The sequence below is a fragment of the Homo sapiens genome, chromosome 5 (assembly GCF_000001405.40).
Source record: "Homo sapiens chromosome 5, GRCh38.p14 Primary Assembly".
In the NCBI taxonomy this organism is placed as follows: domain Eukaryota; kingdom Metazoa; phylum Chordata; class Mammalia; order Primates; family Hominidae; genus Homo; species Homo sapiens.
In genome coordinates this window covers 131641398-131667701 of record NC_000005.10, presented here as the reverse complement: position 1 = coordinate 131667701, position 26304 = coordinate 131641398, and the positions used below count along the sequence as shown (strand labels likewise).

Sequence of the window (26304 nt, the reverse complement as noted above, 5' to 3'; positions counted from 1 at the left end):
CAGGAGAATCACTTGAATCCAGGAGGTAGAGGTTGCAGTGAGCCGAGATCACGCCACTGCACTCCAGCCTGGGCAACAGAGCAAGACAACCATTTCAAAACAAACAAACAAACAAACAAACAAACAAAAAAACAGAAGTGAAGAAAGCCAAGTGGGAAATTATGGATGAGAAAATGTGGCTTAGTGAGCAACAGTCAATTGTTAGCCAATAAGGTTTAAACCTTCTGTGTCTGTAGAAAGTTACCTAAGTTGTAAAGTTTGGTGTTTTATTGTATAGTAGAGAAATTATGGCAAATATAGATAAAAACAATTTGTGAGAAAAACTTATCAGAACTTGTGATCTTCATATTTAAAGGCTAGTTTGCCCAGCTTTTGAATACCAATCAAATAAATATTTATTGACCTACTGTGTTCTGAATATAGTGCCAGTACTCCAAGGGATATATGTATGAAAAAGAAAAAGTTTCTGACTTCAAGTTTTTAACTTAGCAACAGAGAAAATAAGGCCAAGTGTATGAATAAATGTAGTATAAAACATAACAAAAGTAGTGCCTGAGGAAGATACTTGAATGTATTATTGCTTCAAAGGACAGATTTTTTATTAGTTGGTGGTATGGATGCCCTTCAGGGTAAAGGAACCGTTTCTAGTTTTTTCAATGCTTCCCTCCCAATACCTGATGAAGTGCCTATTATTTGTTGAATTACTTGGTTAAGGAATTGTATATGAGTTCTTCTAATGCACTCTGTGTCTTCTAATGCATTCTTATCTTTCTTTATGTCTGATCCTAGTTGCTTAGTCTCTTTTCTTCTTTCATCTGTACCCATCGCCAAACACAGTATCTTGTGACTTTCTCTGTGAAAGCCTGGCGTTGGAAAACATTGCTGTCTCCTGCTGAAGATAAAGACAACATTTTGATTTTAAGGGTTTCTTCCTGCTATTATAGGATGAATAATAATAATAGTATTTAGTTTTTATTGTTGCCTTACTGTGTCCCAGGCACTTAAGTGTACTATTTCACTTAATCTTATAATAATCCTTTGAGGTACTTATTATTGTTATCTTTGTGTTTCAGATATGGCTCAGAGAAGTTTTTAAGTTACATAGATGGGGAATGGCAAAACTAGAATTCAGTTCTTAACTGCCTGTTCTTAAGCTGCTATGCCATACTGTTACTAAAACTGATGAACAAAGAGTAATACAAATAGCAAAATCACCATTACAAAGTTATAAGACTTTTATATTAGTGGTCCCAGGTCTGTTGCTCTTGGATTCCTTCCACTATGGTAAAAAGGAAGGAGCTATTTGTCTTTCCCCCTCTGTTTTAGTAATTGGGTTTCTAGTCTTTCCTTCTCATATTTTCATTTAGTCATGTAAGTATACTATCAAAGCACTATTATAGAAAAATTTGACAAAAAGAAAAATAAAATACCTTCAATCTCAGCACTGACAAGTTGTTGAACTTTGTTATCAATCATTTTTCCAAAGCATGTATAGGATTTCTAAAAAAATTATTTGGCCAGGCACGGTGGCTCACAGCTGTAATCTCAGCACTTTGGGAGGCCGAGGTAGGCAGATCATGAGGTCAGGAAATCAAGACCATCCTGGCTAACACAGTGAAACCTCATCTCTGCTAAAAATACAAAAATTTAGCCAGGCATGGTGGTGGAGCTACTACGGAGGCTGAGGCAGGAGAATGGCCTGAACCCAGGAGGCGGAGCTTGCAGTGAGGTGAGATCACGCCACTGCACTCCAGCCTGGGCGACAGAGCGAGACTCCGTCTCAAAAAAAAAAAAAAAAAAAAGTATTATTTTAGGCCAAGCGCTGTGGCTCACGCCTGTAATCCCAGCACTTTGGGAGGCCAAGGTGGGCAGATCATGAGGTCAAGAGTTCGAGACCAGTCTGGCCAACATAGTGAAACCCCGTCTCTGCTAAAAATACAAAAAATTAGCTGGGTGTGGTGGTGGGCATCTGTAATCCCAGCTACTCGGGAGGCTGAGGCAGGACAATCGCTTGAACCTGGGAGGCAGAGGTTGCTGTGAGCTGAGATTTCACCATTGCACTCCAGGCCAGGTGACAGTGAGACTCCATCTCAAAAAAAAAAAAAAACCTATCTATATATATATATATTTTTTAATCCTTGCATACTTAAAGTTTATCATATTTAACATGAAATTTTTTTATGTGACTACATGGAAAAACATGTAGGAACCTTTTAATATATAAATAATGGAAGTGATACTTTAAAAAAATACAGTCTTCTGAATTATAAGAGGAGAGTGTCTTTTCTTTTTCTCCCTGATTTTTAATAAAGTAGCATTTTTCTTAATATATATTTATTATACAAAATGTTGAAATGTGAAGAAAGCCAAACACAAATTTTCCTAACTCTACCATCAGCTATTCTTATACAGAAACTTCCTCCAGGCATTAGGCAGCATTGTGGCTTCTCATAAAACCCAGAATTGGCCACTTATTGCCGGTATATCATAAGACAGAATACTTACTCTAGGAAAGCCTCAGTTTCTTTGGCTATAATGAAAGTAATACTGATGTTTGTTTACCAGACTTACACTGTGTGGTGATATTAGTCACACTGTGCTTTGCATCTTCTTGTTATGATTATTATTCTGTATGTATGTGTATTTATATATCATATATATGTCTGAAGCCTTATATATAAAATGATATGCTTGTGTATATCTGTGTAAATACACAATATTTACACAGATAAATACACAAGCATATCATTTTATATATAAATACACAGATATACACAAGCATATCTTTTTATATATAAGTATATATTTTTATATAGCTGAGTCCTTATATATAAAATATATGCATGTATATGTATTTATATATACCCATATTTTTATACTCTTTATGATTTTATATTATCTGTTTTAAATTCTGCTTTTGTTACATAATAGTTAATGTAAGAATATTTCCCCATACTAACATAGTGTGTAAACATTATTTTTAATGTATATGGATTATTGCATGGTTTTGTCATAGTTTATGTTTCTCACCATTCTCCTATTGCTCTTTTTTTTTTTTTTTTTTTTTGAGACAGGGTCTTGCTCTGTCATCCAGGTTAGAGTGCAGTGGCACGAACATGGCTTACTGGAGCCTTGAACTCCTGGGCTCAAGCAATCTCCCATCTCAGCTTGCCCAGTAGCTGGGACTGTAGGCACATGCCAGCATGCCTGGCTAATGTGTTTATTTTTTGTGAAGATGGGGTCTCGCTGTATTATCCAGGCTGGTCTCGAACTCTGGAGCCTCAAGTGATCCTCCCACCTCGGCCTCCCAAAAATCTTGTTCTAAAGAGAAAGCCAAGTTTCACCTTTGCATTAGTGTATTAGTAACATTAAACCCAATTCTTAATAAAACCTTATAAACAAACTGATTCAATCTTAGTTTAACCATAAGGTAAAATTTTAATAAACCTTTTTTAATCTTTTATAATTTTCTGTTAAGCAGTAGATCAATTCACTAAGAAAACCATGTTATTCAGACATGTGAGCCCAGATTTTGGCCCTGCATTAGTGTGCTCTTATTTCAGTGTTCAACATACAGAAAAATTAAATAATCCCCTTCAAATCTTAGCAAACTTGCTTATACCTACAGAACTTCCTTTATGAGATCAACCCTTCACAAACCCTCTACACCTTGCTTAAACCTTCAGTTTTGTCCCATTACTCTTTTAGGTTAAGACAATTGTTAAAACCCTCTGAGCTAGACAAAATTTCATTCCCTTTAACAAAAACCATATTCCCATGCCTTCTTATAGCCTCCCATCAAAACCACATTCTTTTTTCCTTCTACACCTTGTATATAAAACTGTTTTTCCAGTAGTCTCAAGTGCATGCTGCACTGTTAACTTTTAGCAAATTTTATTTTTGGTGAGAAACCTAGTAAACAAGCAATTTTAACCATGTATAATATTGCAGAACCCATGACTTTTCCCAGCCTAGCCAGGGGACCTGCCTAACTCCATATGTCTCCAGGCCTTACCTAGAATCTATTGGCTGTAGAACAGACAAACAATTAGTAAAAGTCACAGAAGCAGTTTATCACCTTAAAGCATCCAGCAAACAGTGTTTGACCTGCCAAATTTAGACTAAATATATAAACTTTGAAGACATTTTCATTTTACTTTACCAATAATCTTCTTTTTTATTTACAAAAAGATTATTAGAGTCATGAGACCTACAGGGATTAAAGTTTCCATTTTTCTGACAATGTTTGATTCAAGCGCTTATTTTTCTTTAAGCCAATTAATTGGAGCTGTATATATAAACATCACACACATGACACATATAAATACACAGAAACAGAGAATCAAGAAAAAATTCCATTGACTGAGAAGCTTTTGAAGGGAAGGCTGGAGCTTTCAAACAATATCTGTATATATAGCCCAAATATCAGCTATTTAATTAAGTCGATTTCTAACTGTGGAGCTCTCAAGAGAAAAATTCTTTTAAAATCTTTTATTACCAGATTTCAGTGAGGACAAACTCTGACTTCTGAATCCTTTTACTAGAGGTAACCTTCTATGTGAAATCAATAAGCCTTAACTAAGGGGATGACTTAAACAGGGATGTAGGAGGTGTCTCCAAAGAGATGGTAAATGATTTATAAGATCTAGAATATCCCCAGGCCAGCCGCGGTGGCTCACACCTGTAATCCCAGCACTTTGGGAGGCCGAGGCAGGTGGATCACCTGAGGTCAGGAGTTCAAGACCAGCCTTACCAACATGGCAAAACCCCGTCTCCACTAAAAATATAAAAAGTAGCCATCAGGCACAATGGCGCATGCCTGTAATCCCAGCTACTCAGGAGGCTGAGGCAGGAGAACCGCTTGAACCTGGGAAGCCAAGGTTGTGGTGAGCCAAGATCGTGCCACTGTACTCCAGCCTGGGTGACAGAGTGAGACACCATCTCAAAAAAAAAAAAAAAAAAAAAAAATCTAGAATATCTCCAAAGGTAGTTCAGAGAAAAGAAAATTCAAGATAAGAAATGAGAAGCTGTGCATGGAAGGGAAAAGAATCAATAAATGGCAAAAGTTCCACAAGTATTAAACCAAAAAGGACTTGCTCCCAAAGCCTGGAATTGAACCCAAGCCACCCACCACTGTGGGAGGGCAAAGCCTTTGCAACTGACCTACAGTACAAGGTGACTGCTGTTGTCTTTCCCAGAAGGAGTCTAGAGCATTTTCAAGCTTGCAAAGGACTTCAACTGCTCAAGAGAATTTTCTAAGACTAACCATGTCATTATTATGCATCTTTCTTTTAATTTAACCTTTTTCTTTCAATGAGGTAGTCAGTTCCAATAGTGACACAATCTAAGAAGCCTATTAAAGTTTAGATGATAATTTTCCAGTTTTTTTTTTCCTTTCTTTTTACATTAGAAGCAAAAGGTATCTAGGGTAGAAGAGGCATCTCCATGATCCCCAAGAATTCACTCTCAGAAATGGGCTTAAGATAGCAAAAGATGACAAATGCCCTATAGAGATGGGACCTTTTCAGACAAAACTCACCCAAGGGCTTGACACATTTGGGATGAAGAATGTGCTGACTCATCTCAGACTCCCAGCCCTTTCGGATTGGGTGCCTGACATGAACTTGAAAATTCCTGTTCTCTGGATGGTGGAGACCAAGAGAGAGTATCCCCACATGGTCACAAAGTCATGCTCTCAAGGATGTAAAACAAGATTAGAGGGAAGCCTCATTTAGTTTTTGTTTCAGGGACCCACAGCAAAGTTTATAACTGACCCATCGAAAAGTACACCAGAATCACTACAGCCTCAGATTAGCCTCTCACAGATCCTTTTTCTTATTAATAAACAGTGATTTTTACCATTCACTTATCTAATTTGCACAGAGAGAGAGAGGCCAGAAGCCTCACTGGTAAGAAATTCTTACCTTTTGTTGGCACGGCAGGTTTCTGATTTCCCTTTCCCTCAGCTGCCCTGGCGATGTTGCTCACCGCACCATAGTCACAAAGGAAAATTACTTTTGTGTGTTTCATTGAACCATAGGCAAAAACCTCTCAACTTTGTAAGATGTCACCCAATAGGCTGTGTGGGGGAGCGAGGGAGAGGGGCGAGAGACCATCAAATTAACATTCTTTATCTCAGCTTGGTGAAGCACACATAACAAAACAGACACTAGTCACTTTGCTCAGCACCTAATACTGACTTATCAAGGCTCAATCTTTTTCTAGTGTGCCCCTGTCATCTTTGATCCCCTCAAGGTAGGGAGGGATGACCTCTGACTGGGAATTCACTGGGTGATGTCTGGACAACATGAAGAGCAGACAGTCACCCCAGGTCAAACCTGTTGAACTTCCTTTACTGCTCAGCAAATGTGACCAAATAAGGTTCTCCGAGTTAGGTCTGCTGGACTTCCATCACCAATTCCTTTAGAGATCCCCTCTAGATGTACAAACACACACACACACACACACACACACACACACAAAACAAAGACAAGACGGACAGAAGGTCTCCCAAAGCAAGATCCCTGAGCAAGAATTCTAAGAGTATGCTTCTATTCTCTGAGAAACCTCCCTGAAATCTTCCTGATTGAGGAGAAGTCTCCCCAACCAAGACTCTTCCTACTGATTAGGGAGAGCCAATTGAAACCGCCAAAGGGGCCAAACTTAGATCCCTTAAGAAGCCAAACCAGTCAGGAGAAGGAAGGAGGCATTGGCACCACCTAGAATACCCACCAGACCAGTTTAGAGATGTCTTTACAGGAACAATTTCTCTACTGCAATTGAATCCATGCACCATGGGTCAGCAGTGTGTTGCTGGTAGAGATAGTGCCAGCGTCAGCCCCCAGTCCAAGAGAACTACGCAGCCACTTGGGCTGGCCTCTGGATCTATTGCCGGTGGGGGACTACCACACCGTGGGCAGGTAGCCACAAGGGTGATCCCAGATGAGCCCCCAAATTTGTAACTGCCCAGGGGTTCTTCCTGCCCACTGCATAAAGACTATGGTATTGTAGTAGAGAAAAAGTTCAATAGACACAAGGCCAGCCACCCCACATGGGAGATGGAGTTCATACTCAAATCATCTCCTTCAAAGCTTGTAGGTTAGGGATTTTTAAAAGGCAGTTTGGGGAAAGGGGTGCGGTGGCCAGGTAACAGGTGCTTACGGCTGATTTGTTGGGGCAGAAATAACATCATAGGGGGTTGAAGCTATCCTACTGGGGCCAAATCGCTTCTGGATGGGGCTACAGGAGTGGGTTGTCAGTCCAGGTGGAGCCAAGGGTGTCAGACATGCAAAAAACCTGGAAAGATATCTCAAAATGCCAGTGCACAATAGTGGTGTTATTTGCAGTTGGGAAAGTTTCATTTCTTATAATCTCCAGAATAATGTCTGTGCCTTAGCAGAACTCAAACTCCTCTCCTACTTTCAGCCTGATGGCTTCCTTTTAGCTTTACAAAAGCAGTTGAGTTTTGGGCAAGGCCTATTATCATTTAAACTGTAGCCTGGACCACCAAGACTGTGTCCACCCTGCAAGCACAGAGCCTCACCCTCACCACTCTGCCGCCCATCCACACCTGCCACCAGTTCACCATGGATAATGATATTGCTGTGCTTGTCGTCGACAATGGCTCTGGCATGTGGAAGGTCTGCTTCACGGGCAACGATGCCCCCGGGCCGTCTTCCCCTCCATAATGGGGCACCCGAGGCACCAGGGTGTGATGATGGGCATGGGTCGGAAGGACTTCTATGTGAGCAACAAGGCCCAGAGCAAGAGAGGTATCATGACCCTGAAGTACCCCATGGAGCATGGCATCATCACCAACTGGGATGACATGGAGAAGATCTGGCACCACACCTTCTACAATGAGCTGCATGTGGCTCCCAAGGAGCACCGTATGCTGCTGACTGAGGTCCCCCTGAATCCAAGGCCAACCACAAGAAGATGACTCAGATCATGTTTGAGACCTTCAACACCCCAGCCGTGTATATGGCCATCCAGGCCATGTTGTCCCTGTACACCTATGGCTGTACCACTGGCATTGTGATGGACTCCAGCGATGGAGTCACCCACACAGTGCCCATCTACGAGGGTTACGCCCTCCCCCGTGCCATCCTGTGTCTGGACGTGGCTGGCCGGGACCTTACTAACTACCTCATGAAGATCCTCACCGAGCACAGCTACAGCTTTACCACCATGGCCGAGCGGGAAATCGTGTGTGACATCAAGGAGAAGCTATACTATGTCACCCTGGACTTTGAGCAGGAGATGGCCACAGCGGCCTCCAGCTCCTCCCTGGAGAAGAGCTATGAGCTGTCCGATGGCCAGGTCATCACCATTGGCAATGAGCTATCCTGCTGCCCTGAGGCGCTCTTCCAGCCTTCCTTCCTGAGCATGGAATCCTGTGACATCCACAAAACTACCTTCAACTCCATCATGAAATGTGACATGGACATCCGCAAAGACCTGTACACCAACACAGTGTTGTTTGGCGGCAACAACATGTACCCTGGCATTGCGAACAGGGTGCAGAAGATCGTCACTCTGGTGTGGATGGGCAGCTCCATCCTGGCCTTGCTGTCCACCTTCCAGCAGATGTGGGTCAGCAAGCCAGGAGTATGATGAGTCTGGCCTCTCCATCGTCCATCGCAAATGCTTCTAGGCGGACTGTTACTTAGTCGCGTTTCACCCTTTCTTGACAAAACCTAACTTGTGCAGAAAACAAGATGAGATTAGCATGGCTTTATTTGTTTTTTTGTTTTTGGTGGTGATTTTTTTTTTTTTTTTTTTTTTTTTTTTTGGCTAGACCCAGGATTTAAAAACTGGGACAGTGAAGGTGACAGCAGTCAGCTGGAGCAAGCATCCCCCAAAGTTCTGCAATGTGGCCGAGGACTTTGATTGTACATTGTTCTTTTTTCTAATAGTCATTCCAAATATCGTGAAATGCATTGCTACAGGAAGTCCCTTGCCCCCCTGAAAGCCACCCCATTTCTCTCTAAGGAGAATGGCCCAGTCCTCTCCCAAGTCCACACAGGGAAGGTGATAGCATTGCTTTCATGTAAATTATATAATGCAAAATTTTTTAATCTTCACCTTAATACTTTTTTATTTTGTTTTACTTTGAATGATCAGCCTTTGTGGCCCCCCTTTTGTCCCCCAACTTGAGATGTATGAAGGCTTTTGGTCACCCTTGGAGTGGGTAGAGGCAGCCAGGGCTTACCTGTACACTGACTTGAGACCAGTTGAATAAAATTGCACACCTTAAAAAAAAACAAAAAGCTGTAGCCTAAATGTCTTCCGAAGTTAGCTTGGCCCCATACCCCAGGAATAATTAAGGGAAAGGCCAAAATGGGTTTTGGGTTAGCTTAGTTCACTGTTATAATGTTCTCACTAATATAACTTTTGCAAAGGCGGTTTCAGTATCATAGAAGGGCCCATGTGGTAAAAGAAATAAAAATCAGTCTTGAATAATATGAACCCTTCTGCTAGATTGTCTAACGTCAATTTGTTTTTTGGCCTTGCTGCTTCTACGTCTTGTTCCTCATTGTCTGGCACTAGTTTGGAAGCACTCGTCTCTATCGAGTTGTCTTTTGTTCATTCCTCTGGTATGGTGTCTGTTAGCTCTTGAATTTCTGCAAGATCCATATCTTTTTTTTTTTTTTTTTTTGAGATGGAGTCTTGCTCTGTTGCCCAGGCTGGAGTGCAGTGGCGTGATCTTGGCTCACTGCAGGCTCCGCCTCCCAGGTTCATGCCATTCGCCTGCCTCAGCCTCCCCAGCAGCTGGGACTACAGGCACACACTGCCACACCCGGCTAATTTTTTTGTATTTTTAGTAGAGACAGGGTTTCACCATGTTAGCCACGATGGTCTCAATCTCCTGACCTTGTGATCCGCCTGCCTCGGCCTCCCAAAGTTGCAAGATCCGTATCTTGAAAGCCTTCACCCACCGTTTTTTTTTTTTTTTTTTTTTTGCCTTATTTTCAAGCTCTTTCATCATTTCCTTGATGGGCTCTGTTGTTAAGTTCTGTGTGCAACATCTGGACACAGTTTTCTCCAGCTGGAAGTTATTGTTTCAGGCTTGATGGCTTTCATGGCTTTTTCTGTAACAGCAATGGCATCTTCTATGGCGTGATTCTTCGGACTGTCATGATATTCTCTCCACTGGGGTTCTTTTCCATAGCACTGACAATCATTTTTATAGAATATTGTGTTTAATGGTCCTTATGGCACCCTGATCTAGAGGCTGAGTTAGAGATGTGTTTAGGGGCAATTAGACTACTTCAACACTTGCAGTGTTAAACTCATAGGGTTCTGGGTGGCCAGGGGCATTGTCCAACATAAGAACTTTAAAAGGCAGTCACTTACTGGCAAGGTACTTCTTGATTTTAGAAATAAAGCATGGGTGGGGCCAGGCGTGGTGGCTCACGCCTGTAATCCCAGCACCTTAGGAGGCTGAGGTGTGTGGATCATGAGGTCAGGAGTTCGAGACCAGCCTGGCCAACATAGTGAAAACCCGTCTCTACTAAAAATACACAAATGAGCCAGGCATGGTGGCAGGTGCCTGTAGTCCCAGCTACTTGAGAGTCTGAGTCAGGAGAAGCACTCGAACCTGGGAGTTGGAGGTTGCAGTGAGCTGTCTGGGCAACCCAGCGAGACTCTGTCTCAAAAAAAAAAAAAAAAAAAAAAAAGGCATGGGTGGATTCAATCCAGAAAAAGAGTTTTTGTTTTTCAGGCTTTCTTGTTCTACTATCAGAAGACTAGCAGGGCTGGTGTTTATCTTTTTTCCTTCAAGGTCCAGAGGTTAGCAGCTCTTTATATAAGGGTAGTTCTGATCTTAATCATGACTGCATTTACACAAAACAGTGGAGTTAGCTTATCCCTTCCTGCCTTAAATCTCGGTGCTTGCTCCTGTTCCTTACTAATAAATGTACTTTGTGGCATCTTTTTCCATAATAGGATTCTTTCATCAGCAATAAAAACCTGTTCAGGCAGATACCTTTTGTCCTCTATGATTTTCTTGATGGTGTCCAAGAACTTGTGTATTGCCTCTTGGTCAGCAAAAGCTGTTATCTTGATATTTTTTAAGCTAAAACTCTTTCTAAAATTATCAAACCATACTTTCCTAGCGTTAAATTCTCCAGCTTTAGATCCTTTACCCTCCTTTTGCTTTAAGTTGTCATATAATGACTTCATCTAAAAAATAATATTAGAGTCTTTAGTTAGAGCTTTCTTACAGCAACCCTGTACCCACATAAGAGCTGCATTTTCATTATGAGATTTAAAAGGTATTCTGCAAAAGTACCTGGTTTTCACACCTAGTGGCATTGCTGCAATGACAGCTTCACAAATTTCCTTTTCTTATTTTACAACTGTCCTCATGGTGGATTCATTGATCTTGAAATGATGGGTAACCACAGCTACTTAATCTATGGTCCATATCAAGCCATTCAAGTTTTTCTTGTAATATCTTAACTTCTCTCTACTTTTCTTGAGAGCATTTCCAGCATCACTAGTGGTACTCCATGTGGATCCCATGATGTTATTCAGGGTTTGCTGTATCACACTAACCATGATGGAAAATACATGAGAACCTTTAAACACCAGTTTTGTTATCTTTTTGGCTTTTTGTTTTATTAGAGACAGAGTCTTACTCTGTCACCCAGACTGGAGTGCAATGGTGCAGTCATAGCTCACTGCAGCCTCAAACACCTGGGCTTAAGGGATCCTCCTGCCTTAGCCTCCCAAAAGAGATTAGTTTTTTTTTTGTTTTGTTTTGTTTTGTTGTTTTTTGAGATGGAGTCTTGCTCTGTCACCCAGGCTGGAGTGCAGTGACGCAATCTTGGTTCACTGCAAGCTCCACCTCCCGGGTTCACGCCATTCTCCTGCGTCAGCCTCTGGAGTAGCTGGGATTGCAGGCGCCTGCCACCATGCCTAACTAATTTTTTTTTTTTTTTTGTATTTTTAGTAGAGACGAGGTTTCACTGTGTTAGCCAGGATGGCCTCGAAAAGAGATTAGTTTTTAACTGAGATATGCTGTTTATTGGAGAGCGGAACTGCTCCTGCAGAGATGATTAAGTTGGCAGGGTGTTTGAAGTACATACTTGCAACACTTGAGCTCTGGGCAATAGCAACAGGAAGTAGCTACAAAACTATTATAGTAGTGCAGTAGGTACTACAGCTAGTTTTATGCAGTTATGATTTAATACTATACATTTGTTAACATTTCTCTGGGCTGTGAATGTCACCTTGTATGCCTTGTAAGTGTGTAAGTTTTTATAAATTTTAACTTCTTATAGTAGATTTGTATTTTATAGTAGTAAATGATAAAATATACTACCTACATTTTTTTGTTTGTTTGTTTGTTTTGAGATGGGTCTTACTATGTTGCTCAGGTTAGTCTCTCGAACTACTGGGCTCAATTGATCCTCTCGCCTCTGCCTCCCCAGTAGCTGGGATTACAAATGCACACTACTGTGGCATGCATCCACATATATTTTATGTATTCATGACATGCCTAACTTTTCTTATTTTCCGTATTTCTAGGCTACACGGTTTTGTCTAAGTTTTTCAAATTGTTGCAAATTTCCAAAAACTTTACCCATATATTATATTGGAAAAAATTGGCATCTAAGTGGACCTGTAGTTCAAACCCATGTTGTTGGTCAGCTGAATATATTTCACAATATCACAGATGTATATATCTTTGCCAAAATTATATTTCCATAATTAAGTGATGAATAACAAAGTGATTTATCCCTGGCAAGAGATGAATAAATATTTGAATACTGTTTTATAAAAAACAAATATAAATTTGGGGCTCCATGGAAAATCTTCCCAAGGTATATTTTTGGACTTTTCCTTTGCCATTCTCTTCTTATTTCTCAATATCATTTCTCACAAATGTAGCCATTTGCATCTACTTCTATTTCTGATTCTTACTCTTACCGAATTATCCATGTTCTTCTCCCATTTTTTTCACCAGTAGTCCTATCTATACACTTCAATGTCATAGTCCTATGTCCCTTTCACTGCGAAACTCCCTATCACACAGATCCCACGATTGCCCTCCTCTACTTCCCAGCACTTGGTTTCTGCTTCATCAGTAACACATTTTTTTTAAAGCTAGATGTATTTATTTTGATCTCCCTCACAAGTCTATGAGTTCTGTTGTCTTTGTTTCTTTAGTTTCCAGGAAAGAGCTTTATTCAGAGTAGTTGTTCATTAACTAGGCAAAGGAATATCATTTGAGGATGCCAAACCTGGGCTTATCCAGGAGTAAACTTTTGTCCTTATTGTGGTACCTTATCCTAATTGTAGTAACATTAAAAGTTAGAGAGGAAAAGCCATTGGTCTCAGTATTTCATATTATAGTTTTAATCTCAGTCTTGTTGCTGCTATTCCATTTGGCCAGTAGTAAAAAAAAATCCTTACCTTTCCAAATACAGAAAAATATTAAAGGTAGGGTCACTATCTGTTTCTGGCAGACATGCTCTGTACTTAATTGTCATTTTTGGTCTTTGTTTGTAAACCGGGGGAAGGTAAGGACATAGCCATATGCCTTGTGGCTCTTTCATGACTATGTATATATGAGTCAAAATATTATTTTTCACTGTCTTAACATTTTTAACAATGAAAGTAAATGCTTGTGATAAAAATTCAAACAATAAGGGCTGGGTGCAGTGGCTCACGCCTGTAATCCCAGCACTTTGGGAGGCCAAGGTAGGTGGATTGCGAGGTCAGGAGTTCGAGACCAGCCTGACCTACATGGTGAAACCCTGTCTCTACTAAAAGTACAAAAATTAGCCGGGCGTGGTGGCACACACCTGTAATCCCAGCTACGCAGGAGGCTGAGGCAGGAGAATCACTTGAACCCGGGAGGTGGAGGTTGCAGTGAGCTGAGATCACGCCACTGTACTCCAGCCTAGGCTGGTGACAGAGTGAGACTGTCTGAAAAAAATAAATAAAAATTTAAAAGTTCAAACAGTATAAAGATATACAGAGTAAAAAGTAGAAGTCCTTCATACTCTTAACGTTCTTGCTTCACAGAGATCTTCAATACTTCATACTTGATTTGAGTATTTTCTTTCTTTTTTCTATACACTTTCATTTAGATGTAGATCTGAATTTTTAGAAACATAACTGTATGTATAGTGACTTTTTTTTTTTTTGAGACGGAATTTCGCTCTTGTTGCCCAGGCTAGAGTGCAATGGCACGATCTCAGCTCACTGCAACCTCTGCCTCCCGGGTTCAAGCCATTCTCCTGCCTCAGCCTCCCAAGTAGCTGGGATTACAGGCATCTGCCACCATGCCCGGCTAATTTTTTGTATTTTTAGTAGAGTTGGGGTTTCACCATATTGGCCAGGTTGGTCTCAAACTCCTGACCTTAGGTGATCGGTCCACCTTGGCCTCCCAAAGTGCCTGCATTATAGGCGTGAACTACCACGCCCAGCCTGAATTTTTTTTTTTTCACTTAACAATGTGTCTTGGAGAACCCTGTTAGTATATTTTGATGTGTCCCATTTTTAACTGCTGTATTCATACTCTGGACAGATGTCTTAGTCAAACAGAAAAATCTAATTCATGTAGGCAGCAAAGCACTTCATGACATCAAGGAATACCTTCTCTGGTGCTGAGGGATATTAATGCCTGACATATTGGGATAGTTAGCACAGAATCTTACCATTGACTTATTTGTGTGAATAAGTCTTGTTTCTTTGTTGTTGTTGTTGTTTGTGTTTTTTTTAAGACAGGGTCTTACTCTTTGACCCACACTGGAGGGCTGTGGCACAGTTTTAGATCACTGCAATCTTGAATTCTTGGGTTCAAGCAATCATCCCACCTCAGCCTCCTAAGTAGCTGGGATCACAGGTGCATGCCACCATTCCTGGCTGATTTTTTAGATTTTTTTGTAGAGACGAGGTCTGGCTATGTTGCTCAGGCTAGTCTCAAGCTCCTGGCCTTAAGCAGTCCTCCCACCTCAGCCTCCCAGTGTGCTGGGATTATATAGATGTGAACCATGTCATCTGTCCTGTCCTGTCCTGTTCTGTTTTTAAAATGTTTGTCTCAGGCCAGGTGCAGTGTCTCACGCCTGTAATCCCAAAACTTTGGGAGGCCGAGGTGGGTGGATCACAAGGTTAGGAGATCGAGACCATGGTGAAACCCCATCTCTACTAAAATACAAAAAATTAGTCAGGCGTGGTGGCGTGTGCCTGTAGTCCCAGCTACTTGGGAGGCTGAGGCAGGGGAATGGCTTGAACCTGGGAGGCGGAGGTTGCAGTGAGCTGAGATTGCACCACTGCACTCCAGCCTGGCTACAGAGCAAGACTCTGTCTGAAAATAAAATAAAATAAAATGTTTGTCTCTTTCAGGGTAAAAAAACATTTTCTTTCAATTGCCTGGCACATAGTAGACACTTAATACATTTGTCAAATTAATGAATGATCAAAAGACTGTTGAAAGTTAAGTTCTGGACTAAATAATACAAAGTCCTTGTAATGAATACAAAGTCTCAATCTACGATGATATCTATAATATGTCTCAGGGTATTTGTTAATGAGTTAATTATTCTTCTTGGTCAAGGAGATATTGAAATATTGAAGTTTAATTTTTTTTTCTGTTTTTGTTTAGTAAACCTTCATTGCTGAATTACCATTATCTTTGGAAACTTCATTTGCTAAACATAAGATGAATTATTCTTTTATTTCCAGCATCCAGTTTTGGATGAACCAATAGCAGAAGCTGTCTGTATTATAGCTGACATGGATAAATGGACTGTTCAAGTGGCCAGTAGCCAGAGACGAGTGACAGATAATAAATTGGGAAAGGAAGTATTGGTTTCCAGTCTTGTTTCCAATCTGCTTCATTCCACACTTCAGCTTTATAAGCATAACTTGTCTCCAAATTTTGTAAGTATGTGTAACACTGCTTGCATTACTTTAAGCACTGCTTAAAGCTTTCATCATTGTTTTTTCTGAAAAAAAGCTGTTAGGGACTGAATGTTTGTGTCATTACCCGAACTCATATATTGAAGCCCTAATTCCCAGTGTGACAGTATTTGGAGATAGGATCTTTGGGAGGTATCTAAGGTAAGATTAGATCTTGAGGGTGGGGTGCTCTGATGGTATTAGTGGCCTAAGAAGATGAGGAAGAGAAAGATTGTTCTGTCTCCACCATGTGAGGACACAGTGAGAAAACAGCTGTCTGCCAGCAGGAAGAGAGCCCTTACCAGAACCCAACCATGCTTGCACCTTGGTCTTGGATTTGTAGCTTCCAGAACTGTGAGAAAATAAATATCTGGGGTTTTTTGTTTGTTTGAGACAGTGTCTTAATCCCATCACCTGGGTTGGAGCACAGTGGTGCAGTCTTGGCTCACTGCAGCCTCAACTTCTTGGGCTCAGGTGATCCTCCTGCCTTAGCCTGCTGAGTAGGAGGAACTACAGGCACGTGCTACCACACCTGACTAATATTTTGTATTTTTTTAGTAGAGATGGCATTTTGCCCCATTGCCCAGACTGGTCTCAGACTTCTGGGCTCAAGTGTTCCTCCTGCCCCAGCCTCCCAAAGTGCTGAGATTACAGGCATGAGCCACCATTCCCAGCTATATATCTGTTTTTTTTTTTTAATCCATCCAGTCTATGATACTTTGTTATGGCAGCCCAAGCTAAGACAGAAGGGGTTGTGTACATGTCTGTATGTTCTGATTTCAGCAGCCAGAATTTTTGATCATGTGTAGTATAGTCATGCAACATCTCCCAGCTTTGTGTAGAATGCCAGTACATTCTGGATCCTCATTGTCATGTCAGGACTTTTATTGATCTCTTTATAATACTGGTAACCTCTTTCTAAAGATCCCATTTCCAACTTTCAAGGTTCTTTCTTTCACTTATTAGGAGAACTATAACATACCATAGTTAAAAAGCTCTGTAGTTCAAGATGATAAAGGATATCTATGACAAACCCATAGCCAACATCACACTAAGTGGTGGAAGACTGAAAGTATTTCTCTAAGATTAGGAAAAAGACAATAAGACCCACTTTCCCTACTTCTGTTCAACATGCTACTGAGAGTTTTAGCCAGAGCAATCAGGCAAGAAAAATACAAAAGACTTCAAGATTGGAAAAGAGGAAATAAAATTATCTCTGTTTGCAGATGACATGATCTTCTCGTACATAGAAAACATAAAGATCCCACAGAAAACTGGTAGAGCTAATAAGCAAATTAAGCAGATTTGCATAATACAAAACCCATAAAAATAAGTTGCATTTCTATATACTTATTCGAACAATGAACACTCTGAAAAGAAAATTAAGAAAACAATTCCACTTACAATAGCACCAAAAAGAATAAATTACTTAGGAACAAATTTAGGGAGACAAAAGACTCCCTTGTACACTATAAGGTATAAAACATTATTGATAGAAATTAAGGACATATATAAATGAAAGCACTTCCCATGCTCATGGATTGAAAGACTTAATATTATTAGGATATCATTACTACTCAAAGTTATCTACAGATTGAATGTAATCCCTATCAAAATCCAATTGATATTTTTTGCAGAAATAGAAAAACCCATCTTAAAATACATTAAGAATCTCAAGAGACCCCAAAGAGATAAAACAATCTTGAAAAACAACAGTGTTGGTAGATTTCACATTTCTTGATTTCAAAACTTATTACAAAGCTACAGTAATCAAAACATTGTGCTACTGGCATAAGGACAGGTATATAGACCAATGGAATAGAATGGAGATCCTAAAAGTTAACCCTCACATATAAGTTTAGTTGATTTTCAACAAAAGTGCCAAGACCATTCAACAGGGAAAGGAGTCTTTTCAACAAAAGATGCTGGGAAAACTGGATAGCCACATACAAAAGAATTATGCCACGTACAGAAATGAACTCCAAATGGATCAAAGATTTAAGAGCTAAAACTATAAAACTTACAAGAAAACCTAGGGGATAATCTTTGTGACATTGGATATGACAGTGACTTCTTGAATTTGAAACCAAAAGCATAGGTAACAAAAGTAAAAAAATAGATAAATTGGATTTCATCAAATTAAAAACTTTTGTTTATTAGCTATCAACAGAGTGAAAAGACAACCTATAAAATAGAAAATATTTGCAAATCATATATCTCAAAAGGGATTGATACTCAGAATATATAAATAACTCCTACAACTCAACAGGAAAAAAATAATTGAATTAAAAAATGGCAAAGGACTTGAATAGACGTTTTGCCAAAGAAAATATACAAATGGCCAATAAGCACATGAAAATATGCTCAACATCATTAGTCATTAGGGAAATGCTAATAAAACCACAGTGAGCTGCCATTCAATACCTGTAAGGATGACTATGATAAAAAGAATCCACAAAAAATAGTAAGTATTGACCAAGATGTGGTGACCTTGGAACCCTCATGCATTGTTGATGGTAATGTAAAATGGTGCTGGAGCCGTGGAAAAGTTTGGCTGTTCCTCAAAAAGTTTAACATTGTATATTACCATATGATCTATTAATTCCACTTCTGCGTTTATACTCAAAACAATTAAAAGCAGGGATTCAGGCAGTATATACTCTTGTTCATAGAAACATTATTCTCAATCGCCAAACGTTAGAAATAACCCAAGCATCCATCAGCAAATGAATGGATAAACAAAATGTGGTATAATATATACAATGCAATATTTATTCAGCCATGAAAAGGACTGAAATTCTAATACATGCTACAACATGGATGAACCTCATAAGCATTATGCTAAGTGAAATAAACTAGACACAAAAGGACAAATATTGTATGATTCCACTTATATGAGGTACCACAAATAGGCAGATTCATAGAGACTGAATCTAAAATAGTGGTTACCAGGGGCTGCGGGTAAGAAGAGAATAAGGAGTTATTGTTTAATGAGTACAGAGTTTTTGTTTGAGATGATGAGCACAGAGTTTTTGAGATGATAAAATGTTCTGGAAATGGATGGTGGTGATGGTTGCACAACATCGAATGCTCTTAGGACTATATAATTATATACTGTAAAGTGGTCAATATAGTAAATTATATTACATATTTTATATCTACATATATTCTGCAGTTAAAATTTTCTTATGGCATTATCAGCCTAAAGCATTGTGAAAAAACATACACTATAAAACCACAACCATTTGGTTGTGTTTTACAATAATAAAGTAGATTTTTATTAGGAGCTTTTAATAACTGATTTTCATTGGAAAGGAACACTCTGTATGAATTTAATGTTTAGCACCTGAAACTTCTGTTTTTTCCTCAAACATGTTTAGCATCAATTCACATGATAAATCACCTATTTTAGTAAATTGAGCAAGTTAATTGACATTAAACAAAATGTATGTGTTTCAGGTTTTTTTTTTTTTGTAACTTTTGTCACCCAGGCTGAATTGCAGTAGTAATCATGGCTCAATGCACCCTCAAAACCCCTGGGCTCAAGTAGCTAAGACTACAGGCACGTGCCACCATGCTCGGCTAATTCTTTTTTTTTTTTTTTTTTTTTAATTTTTGTAGAGACAGAGTCTCACTGTGTTGCCCAGGCTGATCTCGAACTCCTGGCCTCAGATGATCCTCCTGCCTCCACCTCCCAGAATGTTGCGATTACAAGTATGAGCCACCATGCCCAGATGTGTTTTAATTTTCAGTCTTTCAGCTTAGAAATTGGGGAACCACATAGCATTCTTTGTGAACTTTTGCAAACTGTTTTTTATTCTCCACAGGAGAATACATCCTTTCCTATGTAAATACATTTGAAAAGTATTAATTTATAAAAATTTTATATTTATCAAATTTGAAATAAAAACATAGTGAAAAAAGTTTTGGAAATGGATAGTAGTGACGGTTGCACAACATTCTGAATGTACTTAGTGCCACTGAAGTATATTTAAAAATGGTTAAAAAGGGCTGGACATGGTGGCTCACACTTGTAATCCCAGAACTTTGGAGGCTGAGGTGGGTGGATCACCTGAGGTCAGGAGTTTGAGACCAGCCTGGCCAACGTGGTGAAACTCCATCTCTATTAAAAATAGAAAAGAAATTAGCCGGGTGTGGTGCGCATGGCTGTAGTCCCAGCTACTCAGGAGACTGAGGCAGGAGAATTGCTTGAACCCGGGAGGCGGAAGTTGCAGTGAGCTGTGGTCGCGCTTTGCACTCCAGCCTGGTTAACAGAGCAAGACTCCATCTCAAAAACAAAAAACAAACAAAAAATGGTTAAAAGGGCAAATTGTATGTGTATTTTTGCACAGTTAAAAAAAAAAAAAGACGCTGTAGAAGCTAATCTTTGATATGAGCCAGAAAAAGTTTCACTTCTCTTTTTAGCTAAAACTACATACTTTAAAAATGTGCTCCAAATTTTAGTTCATATTGAAATAAACAAACAGAATTGTCAAAAACATTATGTTTTGGAGTTTGCCATGACTGAGAGTTGCAAACTGTTTTCTGACCTGGTTCTTGGTTCCTCCCTAACTGCAGTGTGTAATGCATCTTGAAGACCGGTTGCAGGAGCTATACTTCAAAAGTAAAATGCTGTCTGAATACCTGAGGGGGCAGATGCGTGTTCATGTCAAGGAGCTGGGAGTGGTTCTGGGGTATGTTAATGGTTTCTTTTTTGGCTTTGCTTTCATTGCCCTGTCATCAGGCAAGGAATTTTCCTCAGAATTGCCCTTTTTCCTTTTACGTGTCTTCTCCTATTAGAAGCTGGAGGCTGTTATCATTTAGGTTGCCCTGTACCATGTAATAGCAGGTTCCCTGTCATCCACTAATCTGAAAGGCATTATCCCTTGTGCCATTACATACAGTAGGTTGAGAATATAATCACAGTGAATTAAAATCTGAATTTTTGTCTCAGAAACATAAGTACATACTCATTTATTAAATATGTTGCAAACTCATTATTCCAAGTATCTGCCCTGCCTTCCACATGAGCTGGTTGAGGTAACAGAAGTCTGTAGATGGTAATACGTTATCCATATATTACTCCTTCCCCCCCATTAACTATATATTATATCTGTCTACTCTGCATTATTCTCTGGCAGAAAACAGTTATCAAAAATGCTTACTGAAGGAGGAATGGGAAGTTGGTAGGGGGGGCATAATATAGCCCTATTTCATTATGTTCTGTGGTCACTTTTCTTGTGTTCTCTGGCCACTTTAGGTGGGTTCATATGAATTATTTCTTGAAATGCCATTAAAGAAAGCAAAACAAGCTAGAACTTTTATCTAATTTGGCTTTTATGATGGGAAAAGAAACCAATATCACTGAGAACCTACTGTATGTCAAACCACATGAAAATTTTTTACTAGTGTTATTTCTTCATTCTTACTATCATCCTGCAGTGTGTAGGCAGTGTTATCCAGGTTGGAAACAGATGATTCTGAAGTTAACATGCCAGATGTCACACACTGGTAGGACTAATTAGGGATTTGAATGACTCTATATCTTTTTTACTTTAGACCCTATTTATATTCTGTAGTACCACACTGTTGGTCCAGACTTGATGATTTTGACTTGAGTTATACAGAGAGAATTGTTCTCCAGTATTTGGAAAATCAGTAACAGGATATAACCTTGTTTTTCTGGGGAGTGAGCTGTGTGTTTAATGCCTTTATGTAAAAATATTTAAGACAAGTTTTAAAAAGTAACATAAATGTAACCAAAATTCACAGTGCATTTTGGCATACAATGAAAAGTAAGTCATTGTCTTCTTCCCCCAACTTCCAACCCCTACTCAAACACTGTTAACAGATTGTTTTGTAGAATTTTTAAATGAATATTATTTAAAAATCTAAGTTGAGTTATACTCTTGTGTCCTTGTACAACTTGCCTTTTACTATATCTTGAATGTTCATATAAGCACAGAATAATCTCATTCTTCCTAATGGCTGTCTAGCATTCCCTTATATGTTGGAATTTAGATTATTTTTAGTTTTTTGCTACTATAAACCAGTGCCAGACTGAATATAAGTCTCTGACATTTGTAGGATAAATTCCTTGAAATAGAATTTTTGGTTAAAGGGCCTGTATTGATAGATAGTTTGACAGATTATACTGAATACTCTCCAGAAAGTTTCAAAATGAATTCCCACAAACAGTAAGAGGCACTCTTCTCAGTACTGGCTATTACCAGATTTGATCTTTGCTAGGCTACTATCTAAAAAATGGTATCTGATTTTATTCACATTTCTCTAACCATGAGGGAGTCTGATTAATATTTTCTATGTTGGTTGGCCATTTTTCTTTTCCTATAAATTTGTGGTAGGATGTATTTTGAAGTAGCTCCCATTACTTCCAATACATCTTATTATAGAAACATTTGAATCCAAAACAATCTGGGTACACATTATTATTCTTTGTTTTTTTTTTTTTTTGAGACAGGGTCTTGCTCTGTTGCCCTGCTGTTGGTACATAGCTGACTTCAGCCTCAACCTCCCAGGCTCAAGAGATCTTTCTGCCTCAGCTTCCAGAGTAGCTGGTACCACGGGCACACACCACCATGCCCAGCTAGTTTTTAAAATTTTTTTGTGGAGACAGGGTCTCATTATCTTGCTTAGGTTGGTCTTCAACTCCTGGGCTTAAGCGATCCTCCCAACTAGGCCTCCCAAAGTGTTGGGATTACAGGCACGAGTCACCTCACCCAGCTATTATTACACTAGATTGCAGTTGTTAGTCATTGTGCCATGCCCCAGTTCATGTTCCATCAGCATGTCATTGAGACACTTTTCTACGTTTATGATGTTGTTACTCGTATCTGTAGTTCTGTGTTTTATTTACTGAGAATTTTTCCTTTCGGCCAGAGTGGCCTAGCTCCTTAACCGTTGAGGTATAGTGACCTTACAGTTGGTGGTCATTGCCTGTAGAGTTCATGTCCTCAGTACAGAAAATCAAAACTGACATTTTTTTCCCCTTTATTTCAGGATTGAATCCAGTGATCTTCCACTTCTGGCTGCTGTAGCAAGCACTCACTCTCCATATGTTGCACAAATACTCCTTTAATATACCTAAAAATTGTTAGAAATTGGTGGGAAAATAGGTAGAAACCAAGGAAGCAGACACAACATGCATTTATGGAGATTCTTTTTCCCTTTTAGACTTCCATCTGAATGAGTCAGTCACCAGGGTATTCTGCATAGCATTGTATATTCTGTGTATGTCAGATGGCTTTTTCTTTTTGACTGGACTTTTGGGTGGTGGTAGATTTTTAAACAAATGAAATTAAAGCAACAATAATTTTGAAGCATTTGAAAAAGCCAAAGTGTACGGTAGAAATTTCTACAAAATGAATATTATCAAGAGTTTCATGTGATCACTGCAGTGTTGTCACAGCTCATAAATAGCAACAGTGTCTCATGATTTAATGGCTCAGAAATAGTTATTCATTAGTTTTTAATTTTTAATTTCTAAGGTACAGAGATCTATAAAACCTTGATTATTTGTTAGTTTTGCAATTCAAAACAGCTAATGTCTGGTTATTTCTCAAAGTAAGTATTTTAAACAGCCTGTTAATTATAAGAAACTCAGAATAATGAGTGTAAATGTGTTATGTTATCCACCCAAGTGTACATATGTACCTATTTTTTTTTAAAAAGCAGAAATAGAAATACAAGACTGGTAAACATGCCTTTAAAAATATATATATTTTCAACTAGTATTGTCTATAATGCTGAAATATTACTTATTGGTGATTTTTCTGTTTCACACACTCTAAAATATAAGTAAAGCCAACCTTTTTTTTAAGGCTGAGATTCCCAAAATGAGAATACTACTTTATACCATTTGTTTATAAGTATGAACTGTTCTTATAAATATTAATATTTACATATTCACTAATTTAACATAAATGAAAATTAGGATTAAAAATTGCACCAAAGCATCGGCAAAAACAATACTATATTCTTTAAAAGTGCTCAGGTAGCCAAGGCCCTTGCTTTTGGTATCAACCCTCATGAACCCATAGGAGCTGAATATTTGTTTCACTGCTTAATAATCCTCAATTTACACTATTCATAACTCTTAAAATTATTCTCTTTTTTTCTAAGAGTCCCTCCCTTCCAAAAGTGTATTTTTTTCAAAGATTTTCACTTCTCAATTGTTGCCTTTGTACATACTATAGAGTGTTGCTTGTAAGAAAGGCTAATATGGAACCAAACTCTTGTAAGTAATGTAAATAGAAAGGTGGGTGGATAAAGTTTTCAATACTTTCTACTACCTCAGTTTACTTGAGTACTACATTATAGTTTATTCTTTGCTTATCTGGTCTAAGAGACTTTTAATGCTAGTAGTAAAGTTGGTTTCTGCTTTCATTGACTATTTTCATCATAATTTCATCATTGATTAAAAAAAGAAAACCACTTGTTTATTCAGTTATTAAATATATTTACTATATAACACATCCATTCTTGCTGTTTAAATTTTCAATAGTTAATGGAAAGTTGTCTTTGACCTTGAATTTACAGCATTGGGTCACATTTTGCCTTGCTGTGTATGTATTCAAGAGACTTCCAACTAGACAAAGAAAAAATTGTTGTTTTAATGGAATGTAAACCTGAAATTGGTGTGTCTGCAATCTGTTTGGCCCATGACCTTTTACCTAGTCCCAGTTATTACCTGAGTCTCCCATGGATGACTTGCTGCCAAGGAGTGTTTGTGGATATATTTTCTTTGGCTTAATTTTCTTATTCTGTGCATTAACAAAATTATCCAGTTGTCTGATTTTGGAATTCTATGAGTCAATCTTTTTGGCAGAATTCAGAATATTAAAAAGTTCATACATTTGCGGGCCATTGTACCTTTTTTTTTTTTTTTTTTTTTTTGACGGAGTTTCACTCTTGTTACCCAGGCTGGAGTGCAATGGTGCGATCTCAGCTCACTGCAACCTCCGCCTCCCAGTTCAAGTGATTCTCCTGCCTCAGCCCCCAAGTAGCTGGGATTACAAGTGTGCGCCACCACACCCAGCTAATTTTTTATTTTTAGTAGAGATGAGATTTCACCATGTGTTGGTCAGGCTGGTCTTGAACTCCTGAACTCAAGTGATCCACCTGCCTCGACCTCCCAAAGTACTGGGATTACAGGCGTGAGCCACTGTGCCCAGCCTTGTACTTTTTTTTTTTTTTATTGTAGCTCTGTATAGCACTTGGATAATGTCTGGGTGTCTCCTTAACCATCAAACTGTTCTTTATTTAAAATGTTTAATTACCGTTTAGAAATTCTAGTCCTCAATAAGTGGGTGGCTCATGCTATTGTTGTTCCTAAAGCTAAGCTTTGCTGGGAAGGAAATGACCTATAGTTTCTTAAAGAATCATTAATCCTTATAGGATTCCTGAGTTACTGTTTTGTTCCTCCCCACTGCTTCCCATTCCTGAGTTTTGTAATTCCTAATCCTTCTATAATTTCTATTACCTTCACCATAGTCATTCTTTCCTTACGCAAAGCCCAAGGAATGAGCTGCTGCTACTTTAAAGTGTGGTCATTATGATGAATGTGAAAAGAGTTTTGGCTTGTTCTAAATAATTTTTACAAGTTATGGTACAGACAGTTGTTACATATCAAAAAAAACCTGTTTATTGAAACAGGAAATAAAAAAGGGATCTTTTACATTATAGAATTAAAACTAATTTTTTCTTGTATATAAACTAATTGGTTTGATTTTAAATATTTCTGGCTTTTATTAATATGTCTTAATTTTGAGTTTGAAAATGTTAAGTGCAATAAAAACATACTAGTACAGATTTTGTTTTGTTCCAATTGGCATACTCTGGGGATGATCACTTAAAAAAACAGATTTTACATAATGCCTACTTCTGGTAGATGTCTTATGAGATTGTTCTGCTTTTTCTAAGTTACTTAGATGTTGGATATGTACATAGCTGTTTCTTGTTCTGTATACATTTCTCAAATGTACACTTGTATTATAATAACCTCCCAGTTCTAGGGGATATTTGTGCAATAAATACACATGTCAACTTGATGGATGGTGTTGGTCTTTCTTTCATATATTAAGGTATACGTAACATGGACTGATGTCTGTCCAGACATCAGATGACAGAAGTTATGGACTGATATAACTTCTGTCAAACTTAGAAGTTTGACACTTCTAAGGATGTGACCTTTCCTCATTGGTATTTCCATATTGGTAATTTAATAGAATCTACTTCATGAGGTGGTTGTGAGAATCAAGTGAAATAATGAATGTTAAGGATTTAGCTCAGTACTGGCATACTCCAAGTGCTAAATAATTTTTGGCTGCTACTTTTACCAGATAATCTGTCCAGCCTTCCTCTTGT

At 38.7% G+C, this 26304-nt stretch overlaps 1 protein-coding gene and 1 pseudogene across 3 annotated transcripts in view; both read left to right on the top strand.

Moving 5' to 3' along the window:
• The window catches only part of FNIP1 (folliculin interacting protein 1), a 155304-nt gene extending 129316 nt beyond the window's left edge, over positions 1 to 25988 (top strand). For all 3 annotated transcript variants that reach the window (NM_001346114.2, NM_001008738.3, NM_133372.3), the window contains 3 exons: positions 15703 to 15900; positions 20497 to 20612; positions 22939 to 25988. In NM_001346114.2, coding sequence (NP_001333043.1) covers positions 15703 to 15900; positions 20497 to 20612; positions 22939 to 23017 — 393 coding nt within the window. In that variant the 3' untranslated portion in view covers positions 23018 to 25988. The remainder of the gene's footprint in view (positions 1 to 15702; positions 15901 to 20496; positions 20613 to 22938) is intronic.
• On the top strand, positions 7503 to 9262 carry ACTBP4 (ACTB pseudogene 4; annotated as a pseudogene).
• Positions 25989 to 26304: the final 316 nt, after the last annotated feature.